The 15,421-nt window shown below is 38.0% G+C and overlaps 1 long non-coding RNA gene across 2 annotated transcripts in view, besides 2 other annotated features; it reads left to right on the top strand.

The window, feature by feature from the left end:
- Window positions 1-308: 308 nt before the first annotated feature.
- The window catches only part of LOC105373578 (uncharacterized), a 38,616-nt gene continuing 23,503 nt past the window's right edge, over window positions 309-15,421 (top strand). Inside the window, exon 1 of one of the 2 annotated variants that reach the window (XR_923249.3) lies at window positions 309-3,117. This is a non-coding gene — a long non-coding RNA (uncharacterized LOC105373578). The other variant, XR_923250.3, reaches the window with a different exon arrangement.
- Window positions 2,302-2,351: a silencer, noted in NCBI's record as "silent region_11896". NCBI's record gives its function as "represses an Ori minimal core promoter by ATAC-STARR-seq in GM12878 lymphoblastoid cells {active_cell/tissue: GM12878}" and the evidence as "EXISTENCE:reporter gene assay evidence [ECO:0000049][PMID:35858748]".
- Window positions 4,570-4,864: an enhancer, noted in NCBI's record as "tiled region #9538; HepG2 Activating non-DNase unmatched - State 12:CtcfO". NCBI's record gives its function as "activates a minimal TATA promoter and a strong SV40 promoter by Sharpr-MPRA in HepG2 cells {active_cell/tissue: HepG2}" and the evidence as "EXISTENCE:reporter gene assay evidence [ECO:0000049][PMID:27701403]".

The following is a 15,421-nucleotide window of genomic DNA, read 5'->3' as shown; positions in this document are numbered from 1 at the left end:
CTAGGTCTGTCACTCTGGGGCTCCCCTCATCCACAGGCAAGTCTTAGCCTGCCTTTATCTCTCTCCTCTTTCATTCCTGCTCTATCTCCCTCCATCCTCTGAAACAAAAACTAATTTGTTGTTCCCTCCGGATTGCATGCTGTTCCCTGCATTTGAATGCCTTTCTCCCACCTCAACTCATCGAAATCTCAACCAATCTTCAACTCCTAGGCAAATGCTACTGCTTCTTTCATGAATTCTCTGCTCCTTACTCCAGCCAGACATCACGTGTCCTTGTTCCCTTGTCAGGCTTCCCTCCCATAACCTCAGATCAAGCCACCACATTGCTGTAACCATGCACTTCCTGGTATCTATGTCTTTGCTTGTCACAGTGCCCCTCCCAGAAGACATATTCTCTTAGGGCAAGGAAGATATTTCATTCTCTCCCCCCAGCAAAACAAAGCATTTTGTTTTCCACGTTCCATAAGCTTAATAATTATTTGTGAATTGAATGAAAAGAAAAAACATAATACAACTACTCACCTGTTTTGGGGGGCTTTTTTTGTTTTTAACGGAGTGCCTTCCAAGAGCTGAGGATTGGATTTATTAATTCTGATTTTTTACTGGATATCAATTTGAAAATCAAAGGCTGTCCCCATGCCTCAGTTTCCTCATCTGTGACCACAGGTCAAGAATAATTCTTCCTAACCTACTTTACCAGGCTACTTATTTTCACCTAAAAGGTGGCAATATTATGCTTGTTTTGTTTTGTATTGTGTTCTACTTTTAAGCAGGCTAAATAAACAGAGACCTGGAGGATTCTGTTTGGAAGAGAAAGACGATGGGCCCCTTACTTGGAGTTCATTGCCAACCCACAGAAGAGAGACGGGTTCTCTCACCAACCAGAAAAGAAACAGCTGTGGTGACAGATGTTGGTGGTGCTGATTATTCCAGGGCTGTTTGCATTCAGATTTCCCAGGCATTCTCGGTTTTCTGAAGTCAATCTCTTTTGATGGGTTTTCCCAGGTCTTGGGGGTGAAAACAAACCGCTCCTCTTGCCGCACGCATTTCATTTATTTCCTCTCTCTACTCCAGAAACACACAGATAAAGGACACCCACCCAGCACACGCACTCCCCACACCCACGTGGCCTCACGTTTCGTTTTGAACATAAATGGCCTGGGGGAGAGAAACCTTTTCACTCCTCCTTAGGTTGCTTTTTGGTTTTGTAGGTATGTGTGTTGGAGAGGTGGGGGGAGAGGTCTGGCCAAAGTACATCCAAGGCCAGTTTCTCCAAAAGATGTGGAAACTTCTGATCTCACCCAGGGACTTCAACAGAATACCAAAAAGGGGTGTCTTTGTTTCCTCCAAATGGAGTATTTACTTTGAGCTGGTAAAATGAATTAATGAAAAGAAAGGACACCTTCAGCTTCTGGGGAAGGAGTGATAAGTAAAATCAGAGGAGGGGATTCCTTCTTACCCTGACTCCCCAAAATCAAGGGGAGGATGGAGGATGGTGAGAGAGGGAGGATCCCACAGGGTATTCAAAAATAGACCCTGCTAGAAAACAGGCTGCTCTTTTCTGGGATTAAAAGTTGCCTCAATACTGTAAGGCCCATGTATATGCAAGCAGTTGGGAGTTATTACGGGCCTAAAATAGGAAACCATTCGCTTGATCTTTCGCTTCAATCCTATTAGGGGCCCCCTGGAGCTCGAGAGAGATACCAGCCTGTCATGTCCCTGTTGCTGTGACGACCCTGTCTTTATAGAACAAGAAAGAGAAATGGTAGTGATTGGCAGACCTTGCTTGCCCCGTATGTAACACAAAGGGCGACAAAACGAAGAGGAAGTGAGGCCCTTCTCCGAGGTCTGACGCTTCTTAACCCTACACTACCTTCCACCTGGTCCCAGTCGCCCCCACCCCGACCTCCTCCAGAGGGAAAGGAGAGACCACTGGCCGTTAAGTGCTAATACCCAAAGATCACGAATGACTTTTTTGGGTCTAATTGCGAGTAATTTTTAAAGTCCGTCTTTGATCGACTTGGACGGGAGAAAATATACGGGAGGGGCTGGAAGCGAAGATGGGGGCTGCTCAGGCGACGCTGCCAACCGGGCGCTGTTTGCGGGGCGCTGGGCGGGGCGGCCGGGCCTGACAGACCCCCACCATCTGGTGCCAGACTCCAACCCGCCGGTCGTAAATAACCGCCTCCCTTTTCGGGCTTTCTCGCCCGGCTCCTCCGATTCCCGCTAAAGTGGGAAAAGTGTAAAATGCTGTTTGCGTCCTTTTTTCTCCGCTGTGTGCGCGGGAAGGAGGAGAGCGGCCTGCAGTGGCGGACGCGGGGCCGGGCCACCCCCCAAAACCTGGCGCCCGGCGGGGCGGCCCGCAGAGCCAGGCGGCAAAGGCCGCGCCCCGGGCCGAGCTCTCCGCCCGGCGCCCGGTCCCATTAGGGGCTGTTTATTGCAAAGTAAAACCAACCTATCGCAGCGGCGAAGGCACTTTGTCTCTGCCGGGTCCCTTTCGGAAAACCGGTGACCCGGCGGCCCGGCGCGTCTCGGGGCGGGGGCAGCACAGCGTGCACGGTCCTCTCCAAGCGTTTTGCTGGGGACAAGTGCCTTTCTCTGAGGTTTACAACTCGCCCCGGCTCTGCTCAGGCGCCCACGGTAGCCGGAACTGGGCTGCAGCCTCCCCAGATCACACTAAACCCGAGCCGTTGCGAGGCCCCGGGTTGCCCAAAGATTGACAACGATCAGGAGCTAAGTCTGCTTTCCGGGGACCTCGTGGGGAGCTCTGTGCCCAGCACTTTTCTCTCGGACTCTCTGCTGGGGGAGAGAAAGAAAAGAAAAAAAAAGAAAAAGAAAAAGAAAAAGAAAAGTTTCTTTCGGGGGAAGCAGTGAAACAGGAAATGAAGATTCGCTCTGTAGTTTAGCTGAAAGGAAACGCTGTCTAATCCTGACATGTATCGCATTTAAAATAAAATTCTTTTATCTTCATGCGTGCCAAGCCCCCAGACATTGTTCGGACTCCTACGGGGGGAAAGACGTCATAAAATGAGAATTTGTTTCATTGTGGGTCGCTCTGCCAACACCGGGCTTTAAAGGAACGCCAAACAAAGCGGGCGCCAGGAGGGGGCTTCCCAGGTGAGCCCGAGACGGGATCGAAACTCCTCTCCAGTCCACGAAAACGCCCAAGAATAAGTTGTTGAGTAAAACCCACCCGTCCTCCTTGTAAACCCCCCAATTTCCTTTCCAAAACCCCATCCCTCTCCCAAATAAATCACGAGCGGCTCTCTTCCCATGCCAAGCGCCCTTGGCTTCACAATAAGCCCGGAAGATTTTAAGCAACGATATTGAGGTTTGGGAAGAGGGAGCGTGGGGCGTGGGATTCGCTGCTGCCCTGGGTTCAGTGTTCTTGGTTCTTTTCACGCCAGGCGTGATAAAGCAAAATATTTTAACTGCAACCTACAAGCTTGTTTTTTATCTTTTTTTCCCCTAACTTTTTTTTTTCCTTCCAAGAAACAGATCAAGAAAAACTAATTACAAGGCACGGCACCAAAGTTAAATGAAAATGTAATCCGGCAATAGAGAGAGAAAATTAATTTTTTAAAAGATAGATTTGAGTTAGAAACAAAAATACATTGTTCTCCCTGGTAACGTTTGCTAAACCTATGCTCGATTTCGGGCTGAAAAATCAGTAGTTACCCAGAACTCTGAGGTCACTCTCTGGATGCGTTTTCTTTAGAAATTCTAATTCGAAAATGTTCAAGCCTTCATTTGGAGCTTTGTTTTGTTTTCTGTATAAAAAGGTTTGGGGTGTTTTGCTTTTGTTTGTTTTGTTTTCTTTTTATTCAAAAATACTCCTTCTCTGTTTAGATATAATAGAGTGGTCTTGGAGATTAAGAGAATTTAGGAAAATATTTTTGATGGTGCCCTCAGTTGATATGTTACTGAAATAACAAATTGTTTTTTAAAACTTTCTTCTTTCTAGGTAGATGTCCCATCTCTAAAAATACTCTTGACTATTGGAAACGTGGGCACCAGTACACACAGCTGATGAGCTGCTCTAAGCCAGGGCTTGCTTCCAGCAACTCCCCTCACACCAAATGAAGAGGGTTTTGTTATGTTGGTTGTTGTTAGTGAAAGGTTTCTGTTTTGTTTTTTGTTTTGTTTTTGTTTGTTTTTAAACACTCTTGTTGGGTCTTCTACATCCTATATTATCTTCCTAGGAGAAAGGTTAATTTTCATTTCAAAAATGCGTGTGCTGCTGCACAAAACTCATAGTGCTTCATCCTAAAGATTTTTTTATGTCCAAATATTAAAATACTATAATGATGCTTTAATGGAATAAAATGTTTGTCCAATTAACCACTTCTTTGCTATTTGTTAGAATCTCTAGGAACATAGGCCAGTTCCTTAATGTAGTGTTTGTCCTAAGCCATTAAATACTCCATCTTAATTTTATTACATTAAGATATTCAAAATTATCTTCTTCAAATCTTTGTGTCATGTTTCTTTATTAGCTTGACTCACATCAACTGAGTCTCAGCAAGAAATAAGTTGACAGATGTTAGACAACTTGAAGGGGAGTTATTTGTTTTTAAAAAGATTAAATATTCCTGTCTAATTTATTTTTAAATCTCTCTCTCTCTCTCTGTTTTACTGTACTTGGACAGGGTAGGGCTGGAAAAGAAAGCCACGTCCTCCTTTACTGTATCAGCAGTGAATTTGCACCACCTTCTGGTAGGTTAGAGAATGACGAAAACACCCGCTGCTTCCATAAAAGAATTCTTTTATTCACTGTGGTCTGTTGTCCGATTTGTAGCTGAACTCAGAGCACCACTTAGCTTCTCAGAACTCACAGCTGATCTCTCCTATAGCCTGGTTTTATACAGATTCTTTGAACTGGGAAGTCTTTTCTTTATCATATCCTTGAGAAGGCTCACAAAATCCCCAACCGGTCCCTGCCTGTTAATTTACTGAAATGCCTGGCAGGGAAGTAAAGGATGGCTGGAGAATAGTCATTTCCTATTCTATTTTGGCTGTCCTCTGTAGAGTGCTTGAAAACAAATCGGAGGCTATAACTGTAGCAGCAGAGAAATAAACGCTTCTCTTTCTTGGTTTCATAAGACCCTCATTACCCACAATTAATCATAATGACATGCTGTATTCAGGCTCCTTGCTGGGGACTGCGAGGAACACACAGATGTGGCTTTCTGTAGATTTCAATCCCCTCTGCAGTATGGATTTCAGGATACAAAGCTTGTTAGTACACATTACTAGCCCCTGGATCTGCGGTTTCTCTCAAAAGTGCTGGTCAGCACTAGAGTGTGGAGGGTTTCCCAGACTTCAAATGAGGAACGTTTTTTCATGGCCTTCCTGCCTGGTGATAAAGACCACAGGGTGCAAAGGTTGATACTTCTTTCTCAAAGCCAAGCTAGATTTTAAAAAATGGAATATATACCCAGTAAAATGCAGTATGCATATATGTGTGTGTTACATCTATCTTATGTGAAGGTCTCTTATTCAAGGAGACAATAAACTTGATGGTGTGCACTACAGAATATGAGGAAAAATGAAGACCATGTTCTAGTAACATAGAGCCCCAAATGCTTTGCCTGCAAAACTGAGCTCAGAGAGAGAATGATTCTCAATTGGGTTAAATTAGTGAAATCATTTGATGAATTATTAATCTTATGTTAACCAACTGAGCCCCTGATAGGTGCCAGGTCTGTGAAGCTGAAACAGCCATGCTGGCTGTCGTGGGCTAGTTGCAATTGTCTACACCTGAATCAGCAGGGGCTTTCCAGCTAATTGTGTTAAAGGGATCTACCTACACAAGGCTGTTTGTTACTTGCATGATGTTAAGACAACCCAAACAAGAAAGATCAATAATTATTTTGTCATCACCTTACTCAAAAGTCTTTATTACAAACTTAAGAAGATTGTGAAGAAAGTACATGGAGAAACCTACAAACTTTCTTGATGAATATTCCAAGATAAGATTCAAATAAAGGTGAAAAAGACTGTTTTCTTAAATGCAGAGACTTAATGTTGTGAAGACATCAATTCTCAAATTTACATACAGACGGCCTTCCATATCCATGGATTCCACATTCATGGATTCAACCAATCTCAGATGAAAAATAATCAGAAAAAAAGTTGAGTCTGTACTGAACATGTACAGACTTTTTTCTTGTCATCATTTCCTAAACAGTACATTATAACAACTATTTACATGGCATTTACACTATATTTGGAATTATAATTAATTTAGAGATGATTTAAAGTATACAGGAAGAAATGTGTATGTTATATGCAAATACTACACTATTTTATATCAGGTACTTGAGTATTTGGGGATTTTGGTATCTGAGCAAGGTCCTGGGACCAATCCCCCACAGATACCGAGGGATGACTGTGTATATAAATGAAATCAATAGGATGAGTGAGTTAGAAGTGTGGGATAGAAGGGAATTTGGCAAAGTAATTCTAAACTTCACTTAAGAGAATAATGCAATGAAAACAGTGAAGACATATTTGGAAAACGAATAAAATTTGACCTAATGATATGTTCTATAAAACTACAACTTTAACAGGATGGTACTGGTGTGAAAATCAGACCAAGCAATTAAACAAATAAAGAGTACAGAAAGGATGTATTTTATTAAAGGACATATTTTATGTATTTATAAAAATTCAGTGTAAGATAAAGTTGACATCTCAAATCAAAGGCCTGAATTGCAGATTGTTTACTAAACATTGTTGGAAAAATGTACTATCCATTTGTTAAAAGGAATACATACCTTAACCAAAAATAAATTTCATATTGCTGAAGAGTTACCTTCAAATATTACATTGTAAAAAGAAAATCAGCAATAGTCACAATCGTCATCTGACAGCAGAAAAAAAACCAAGCCAATAATTAAAAGAATAGATTGGGGACATGGTAACCAAGAACATAGTGAGGCACCATTTAATATCCAGCACCCACACACATTTTAGAGACCATATTTTAGAGACCATATTTTAGAGACCATAACACTATTCAACTGACAAAAATTTAAAAAATCTAGCAATACCAAGTGTTGGAGAGGATGTGGTCCCCTGGGATCTTTTTAAACAAGGTTTCTGGAAAGGAAAGATATATATAGTCCCTTGGCAAACAGTTTGGCACATACCATATAACCCAGCAATTCTATTCCTGAGTATAGACCCGACAGAAATCTTTTCACCTGCACACCAGAAAAAAAAATATGTAAATGCATTCAGAACAGTAATAGGCATAATAGTGACCTGAATGTCTATAAATGGGGCAGTGTTTGAAAAACTGTGGTATATAGACACAACTGAATATGTGCAGCAGTTGAAATATGGTAGACACAGGTAAATAGCAATTAGCCTGAGCAGAATAATATTAAGTGGAGAAAAGCTAGTGCCAGAAGATTACATGCAGCATGACAGGCTTTTTATACAAATAAAAACAACTTGAATAAAATATGTACTTCCTAGGAAAGCGCATAGATAAGATGAAACTATATATCTAAAAGAAAAAGATAAACACAGACTTCTGAATATTTTTCTCAAGTAGAAGGAGGCAGGAGGATAGGAGGTGTACAGATCACATGGAAGAGTATAAATTATTTCAAGATCCTAGTTATTCTATTAAATGATGGGTTCATGGATGCTTACCACATTTTAAAATCATGAGATTGACTACACATGGACCATGTGTGCACCAGTGGTGACAGTGTGTCACAAATAAGCAATTCTTTGCACCCAAGATTCAGTAAAAATTAAATAATATAAAACACGAAAAATATAAAGGTGGTCAATTTTCCTATGAGGAAGGTTCTTATGAACAAAACAACAATTGCAAAAAGCATAAAGATATTATTGTCACCTAAACTATGACTACCTAAAATTTTTAAAACTTTTCATATCAAAAAACATAATTTAAAGTATTAAAAGCTGAACAAATTAATAGAAATATTTTAAATCTGAGTGTTGTGGCACTTAGGGAGGCTGAGGCAGGAGGATCACTTTAGGCTAGGAGTTCAAGACCAGCATAGGCAACACAGGAAACCCTGTCTCTACAAAAAGTAAAAAAAAAAAAAAAAAATTAGCTGGGTGTTACGGTGTGTTCTTGCAGTCCCAACCACTTGAGAGGCTGAGATGGGAGTACTGCTTAAGCCCAGGAGTTAAAGGCTGCAGTGAGCTATGATCACGCCACTGCACTCTAGCCTGGGTGACAGAGTGAGATCCTGTCTCTAAAATATGCATATATATATATATATGTATATAATATACACACACACACACATATATATATTCACTATAAGTGCAAAAGGGTTAATTACTTTACTGTATAAAAATTCCTGGCGGGGCACGGTGGCTCACGCCTGTAATCCCAGCACTGTGGGAGGCCGAGGCGGGCGGATCATGAGGTCAGGAGATCAAGACCATCCTGCCTAACACAGTGAAACCCCGTCTCCACTAAAAAAATTACAAAAAATTAGCTGGGCATGGTGGCGGGTGCCTGTAGTCCCAGCTACTCGGGAGGCTGAGGCAGGAGAATGGCACGAACCGGGGAGGCAGAGGTTGCAGTGAGTCAAGATCGTGCCACTGCACTCCAGCCTGGGTGACAGAGCGAGACTCCATTTCAAAAAAAAAAAAAATTCCTTCGAAGCAACAAAGACATCCTAAGTGAGAAATGGACAAGAAATACAAACAGGCAAGGCACAAAAGAATATATATAATGGCCCATAAATACATGAAAAATGTGTTCCAATTCATTATTTTATTTTATTTTAAAAAGGAACAAATTACTTTAAAGATAGAGATGAGGTCTCACTATGTTGCCCAAGCTGGTCTCGAACTCCTGAGCTCAAATGATCCTCCCTCCTCAGTCTCCTGAAGTGCTGGGATTACAGGCGTGAGCCATCACACCCAGCCCCATTCATTATTAATCTAAGAAATGAAAATTAAAATAACAATAAAACATAGCAAAGATAGAAATGGTTGGTAATGCATGGTGTTGGCAAGGGAATGAGGCAATGGGTTTCCTCCTATAGGCCAGTGTCAATTATTGCGATATTTTTGGATTTCAATCATAATCAAAATCATAATAGTAGCTAACATTTATTGAGACTTTATAATGTACTAAGTTTTCCTCCAAGTGCTTTACATGTATTTAATCCCCACAACAACTTCAGAAGGCAGGAATTCGTATTATCTACATTTTTCAAATGGATAAAACATTGAAACATGTATTTAAAGCCTTCAAATTGTGCTTATTATGCCACATTAGCAACTTCTTACGCCTAAATTGTTCAAGATAAATTCAGAGAGGGCTGTCATCTTTTAAAAATTTTCTTCTTGTTCGTATATTGAATTGTCCCATAAATACAATGCTTCCAAATATTGATTCTTTCTATACCTTGGGCTCAAAGGGGTCCGAAAAATGTGAAAAAATATATAAGCCATTGACCAGCTATTCAATTTCTAGGGATGTTTACAAGGAAGTGAAAGAATATATGTCAAAATTTAGCTACAAGGACAGTCATCCCTGTGATTGCTGAAATAAGAAAATTATAGTAACTAAAATGTCCAAACAATAAGAAATTGGTTGAAGAAGTATATTCATAGGAGGCAATTGTCTGCAATCCTTTTTTAAGCTCATCAAATTGTTTTTGTTGTTGTTGTTTTTATTTATTCATCCTAGAGTCTACTTCCAGATCAAACTTTTTAATCAAACATTTATTTTGAGACATTTATAGATGCATGAGCAGTTGTAAGAAATAATACAGACAGAGCTCATGTACTCTTTACCCAGTTTCCCTCAATGGTAATATCTTGGAAAACTATAGAACAATATCACAAGATTCAGAAAGTTTCCAACACCATCAGGGTGTTTTATAAAAGGTGTTGCCTTTTTATAACCATACCCACTTGCCTCTTACTTTCTCTCTCTCCTTAACTTCTAGTGACCACTAATCTTTTTCTTCATTTCTATAATTGTATCATTTCAAGAATGTCATATAAGTGAAATTATACAGTATGCAACTCTTTGGCTTTTTTTTTTTTTTTTTTTTTTTTACTCAGCGTAATTCTCTGGATATTTATGCAGATCACTGCTTTTTATTGCTGAATAGTATTCCATGGCATGGAAGTACCACATTTGTTTAACCATTCAGCTACTGAAGGACAGCCAGATTCTATTCACTTTGAGAGCAATTACAAATAAAGCTACTATAATCATTTCTTTGCAGGATTTGTGGGAACATAGGTCTTCATTTCTCTGGGATAAATGCGCAGGAGTGAATTGCTAGGTTGTATGGTGGTTTCATGATTAGTTTTTTAGGAACAGCCAGCTTGTATCCAGAGTGGCTGTACCATTTTACATTCTCACTAGCAATATATGAATGCTCCATTTTCTCTGCATTCTCATCAGAATTTGGTGTTGACACCAATTTTTATTTCAGCTAGTCTGATAGTAGTGCTATGTCACGTGGTTTTAATTTGCATTCCTTGATGGCTAATGAAGTTGAACACCTTTAATGTTCTTTTTTGCCATCGGTATAACTTCTCTGGTGAAATGTTTTTTTATGTCTTTTGTTCATTTTCTAATTGGGTCATTTCCTTGTTGAGTTTTGAGAGTTTTTATACATTCTACATATTAGCCCTCTGTCAGATGTGTGACTTGTAAATATTTTCTTTCACTCTGTAACTTGTCTTTTTTTCTTATTAACAGAGTCACAGAACAGAAGTTTTTAATTTTGAACCACAATTTATTTTTTATTTTATGAATTAAGTTTTTGGTGTCAAGTCTAAGAGTATTTCACCTAGCCCTAGATCCAGAAAAACTATCCTGTTTTTTGTGTTTGTGTGTGTTTTTTTTTTTTTTTTTTTTTTTTTTTTTTTTGAGGCAGAGTCTTGCTCCATCACCCAGGCTGGAGCGCAATGGTGCAATCTCAGCTCACTGCAACCTCCACCTCCTGGGTTCAAGTGATTCTCCTGCCTCAGCCTCCCAAGTAGCTGGAATTACAGGCACGCATCACCACGCCCAACTAATTATTTATTTTATTTTATTTTATTTTATTTTATTTTATTTTATTTTATTTTATTAGTAGAGACAGGGTTTCACCATGTTGGCCAGGCTGATCTCAAACTCCTGACCTCAGGTGATCCACCCACCTCAGCCTCCCAATATCCTTCTTGTTTGTTTGTTTTTTGTTGTTTTTTAGATACAGTCTCACTCTGTTGCCTAGGCTGGAGGGCAGGGGTGCAATCTTAGCTCACTGGAAGCTCTGCTGCCTAGGTTCAAGCAATTCTCCTACTTCAGCCTCCCGAGTAGCTGGGATTACAGGCACCTGCCACCATGCCTGGCTAATTTTTGTAGTCTTTAGTTGAGGTTTTGCCATCTTGGCCAGGCTGGTCTTGAATTCTTGACCTGGTGATCCACCCATCTCGGCCTCCCAAAGTGCTGGGATTACAGGCATGAGCCACCACGCCCGGCCTATCCTGTTTTTCAAACAAAAGTTTTATGGTTTTATGTTTTACATGTGAGTCCATAATTAATTTTGAGTTAATTTTTGCATAAGGTGTAAGACATAGGTCAAAGTTAATTTTGTGTCCATTGTTCCAGCACTGCTTATTGAAGTGGCTATTCTTCTTCCATTGAATTACCTTTGCATCCTTCTCAAATATCAGATGAGCATATTGGATCTGATTTTTGAGTTCTTTATTCCGTCCCATTGATCAATATGTCTGCCCCTCCATCAATACTACACAGCCTTGAAATCTGTAGAATTCTTATATAATAAGTCTTGAAATTACATAGACTGATTTCTCCAACTTTATTTTCTTTTCCAAGATTGTCTTAGTCATTCTAGTTCCTTTGCCCTTCCAGCTAAATTTTAGAATAATTTTGTCTATATATACAAAAAAAAAAAAATCCTTGCTAGGATTTTATAGGAATTGCATAAAACCTGTATATCAATTTAGGGAGAACTGACACTTTTAGTATGATGAATCTCCCAATCCATGAACATAGTACGTCTCTCTCTTTATTTGGAACTTTGTAAACTTTCATTATCGTTGTGTAGTCTTTAGCATATGAGTAATACACGTTTTCTTAGATTTATATCTAAGCATTTGTGTTTTTTGAGTGATTGTAAATGGTATTGTATTTTATATTTCCATTTCAACATGCTTATTGCTAATATATAGAAATGCAATTGATTTGTGTTGATTTGCCCTCAGTAACCTCGCTGAACTCACTTATTAGTTACAAACAAAATAGTTTCGATCTGTTTTGTATGTGTATTTCTTGAAATTTTCTGCATAGACAATTATGTCATCTGCAAACAGGGACAGTTTTATTTGTTCCTTTCTAATTTGTATGTCTTTTCCTCTTCTTGTCTTATTGTAATTAACTAGAACGTTCAGTACTACTTGGAATGAAAGTGGTGAGAGTTGACATCCTTATTCTAGTCCCAATTTTAGAGAGCAGGCATTAAGTCTTTCACAACTAAGCAGAATTTTAACTCTAGGGGTTTAAAAATAAATGTTTTTTATTAAGTTGAAATTTCCTCTATTTCTACTTTTCTATAAGTTTTGTCATAAATGGGTGTTGAATTTTCTCAAATGATTCTCTGTATCAATTTATATGTTAATGTAATTTTCTTATTTAGCTTGTAAAATGGTGGATTACATTGATTGATTTTTGAATATTGAACCAATCTTGCATTGCTGGAACAAAGGTCACTTGACCATGTTGGTATAAATCTTTGTATGTTTTTCTAATTTCTATTTTCTAATATTTTGTTAAGGATTTTTGTACCTATATTCGTAAGAGTCTATACTTTTCTTTTTTTGTATTGTCTTTGGTTTTGGTGTCAAAGTAATATCAGCCTCATAAAATAAATTAGAAAGCGGTCCCTCTTTTGTCTTCTCAGAGAGATTATGTAAAATTGGTACTAATTTTTCTTTAAATATTTGGTAGAATTATCTAGTGAAACCATATGGGCCAAGAGTTTTTTATGGGAGTTTTAAAATTATGAATTCCATTTTCTTAACAGCCATAGGCCTATTGAAATTATCTATTTCATACTGGATGAGTTGTGGTAGTTTGCATTTTTCAAGAATGCCAGTCACTTCATCTTCTTGTAAAATGTACGTGTGTAGAGTTGCTCATAGTACTCTCTTATTATCCTCTGAATGCCTTCAGGGTTTGTAGTGATATCTCCTGATACTGGTAATGTGTCGTTTTTTTTCTTGCCACAGATTTATCCATTTTATTGACCTTTTCAAAGAACCAACTCTTTGTTTCATTGTTTTTTTCTATTTTCTGTTTCTATCTCATTGATTTCTATTCTTATCATTTTTATTTCCTTCTTTTTGCCTGCTTTGGTTTTAAGTTTGCTCTTCTTTTATAGATTCTTGAGGTGGGAGCTTATGTTATTGATTTGAGACTTTTCCTCTTTTCTAATATACAGATTTAGTAATATAAATTTCCCTCTCAACAATGATTTCTCAGTATCCCACAAATTGTGATATAATTTTATTTTCATTCAGTTCAATGTATTATTTATTACTCTTGAGACTTTGACTTTGATCCGTGGATTATTTAGAATAATTGTGTTGTTTAGTTTCCAAGTGCTTAGAGATTTTTATATTACCTTTATGCTATTGATTGCTAGCTTGATTTCATAGTGGTTGGAGAACACACTTTGCAGGATTTCAGTTGTTTTAAATGTGTTGAGGTTTGTTCCATGACCCAGAGTACAATCTATTTTGATGGCTGTTCCAAGGGCACTTAGAAAGAGTATCTGTTCCACTGTTGTTGAGTGGAGTGCTCTATAAATATTCATTTCATTCTTTTGGTTGATAGTGTTGAGTCTTCTATATTGTTGCTAATTTTCTATCAATTGTTCTATCAATTGTTTAGAGAAAGATGAAATCTTCACCTATTTATGAATTTGTCTATTTCTCCTTTAATTGCTATCAGTTTTGGCTTTGCATATTTTCAGATCTGTTGTTTGTTATACATTTAGAATTGTTATATTTTGTTAGATTTATCCTTTCATCATTGTATAATGTCCCTGTCTATCAATTTTCTTTATTCCGAATTCTACTTTATCTGAAATTAATATAGCCACTTCTGTCTTCCTTTGATTGATAAATGTATCATATATCTTTTTCAATTTTTTTACTTCCAACTTGCCAATAACATATTTGAAGTGAATTGTTTTTAGTTAGCAGTCACCTGGGCCATGCTTTTTCATCCACTCTGTCAGTTACTTTTAATTAATATTTTATGATCTTTTACATTGAATTTATACATTAATATATTAGAGCTTAAGTCTACCATATAATTTTTTGTTTTCACCTTCTTCTGTTTTCACTGTTATTTTCTCTTTTCTGCCTTCCTGTGGATTACTTGAACACTATAGACTTCCACTTTGATTTATCTATGTTTCTGAGTATATTTCCTTGTATAGATTTGTACTGATTGCTGTATTATATATCCATAACTTATCACAGTCTACTAGTGATAACATTTTACCAGTTTGGGTGAAATATAAAAATCTTACCTTCACTTAACCTCTATACCCTCCACCCATTTATAAAATAATTATCTTGAATATTTTTCCATGACATTTAGAACCACATCAGATAGTGTTACAATTTTTCTTCCATCATCAAACATAATTTGGAAAACTCAAGACAAAGAAAACCTATTGTATTTACCTCTATTTTTGCTTATCCTATTCTTTCTTCTTTCCTAATGTTCTGAGGTTCCTTCTTTTATCATGACCTTTCTGTTTGCAGCATTTCCTTTAGCTACTCTTTTAGGGTAGATCTGCTGGCAACAAGTTCACTTAGCTTTCCTTCATCTCGAATGTCTTGATTTCTTCTTGCAGCACATGAAAAATACCGTGCCACTTTCTTCTGGCCTTCAAGGTTTCTGATGAGAAATCTGTTGCCATTCTAATTGTTTTTTTCTTGGAAGCAAGGCATCTTTTTATTTTCTTTTTTTTATGGCTGCTTGCAAGATTTTTTCTTTGTTTTTAGTTTTTAGAAGCTTAATTATGACATACCTTGGTGTAGATTTCTTTGGTTTATCCTGTTGGAGATTTGCTCCACTTCTTGAATCTGTTGGTTTCTGTTTCTTGCCAAAGCTTGGAAATTTTTAGCCATTATTTTTTCAAGTACTTTTTCAGCCTCACCCTTTTTTTCTTCCTTCAAGATTTTAGTAACACAACATTAGATCTTTTGTTACAGTTCATGGTCTCTGAGCCTCTATTCTTTTTTTTTCAGTCTATTTTCTTTCTGCTGCTTAAATTTGGTAAAATTGCAATTGTTCTTTCTTTGACTTCACTGATTCTTTCCTTTGTTTCCTCCATTCTGCTGTGGAGCTCATCCACTGAGCTTCTTATTCTGG

Source organism: Homo sapiens, chromosome 2, assembly GCF_000001405.40.
Source record: "Homo sapiens chromosome 2, GRCh38.p14 Primary Assembly".
NCBI classification, from domain to species: domain Eukaryota; kingdom Metazoa; phylum Chordata; class Mammalia; order Primates; family Hominidae; genus Homo; species Homo sapiens.
Note: the sequence above shows the minus strand (reverse complement) of the source record. Positions and strands in the feature narration are given on the sequence as shown.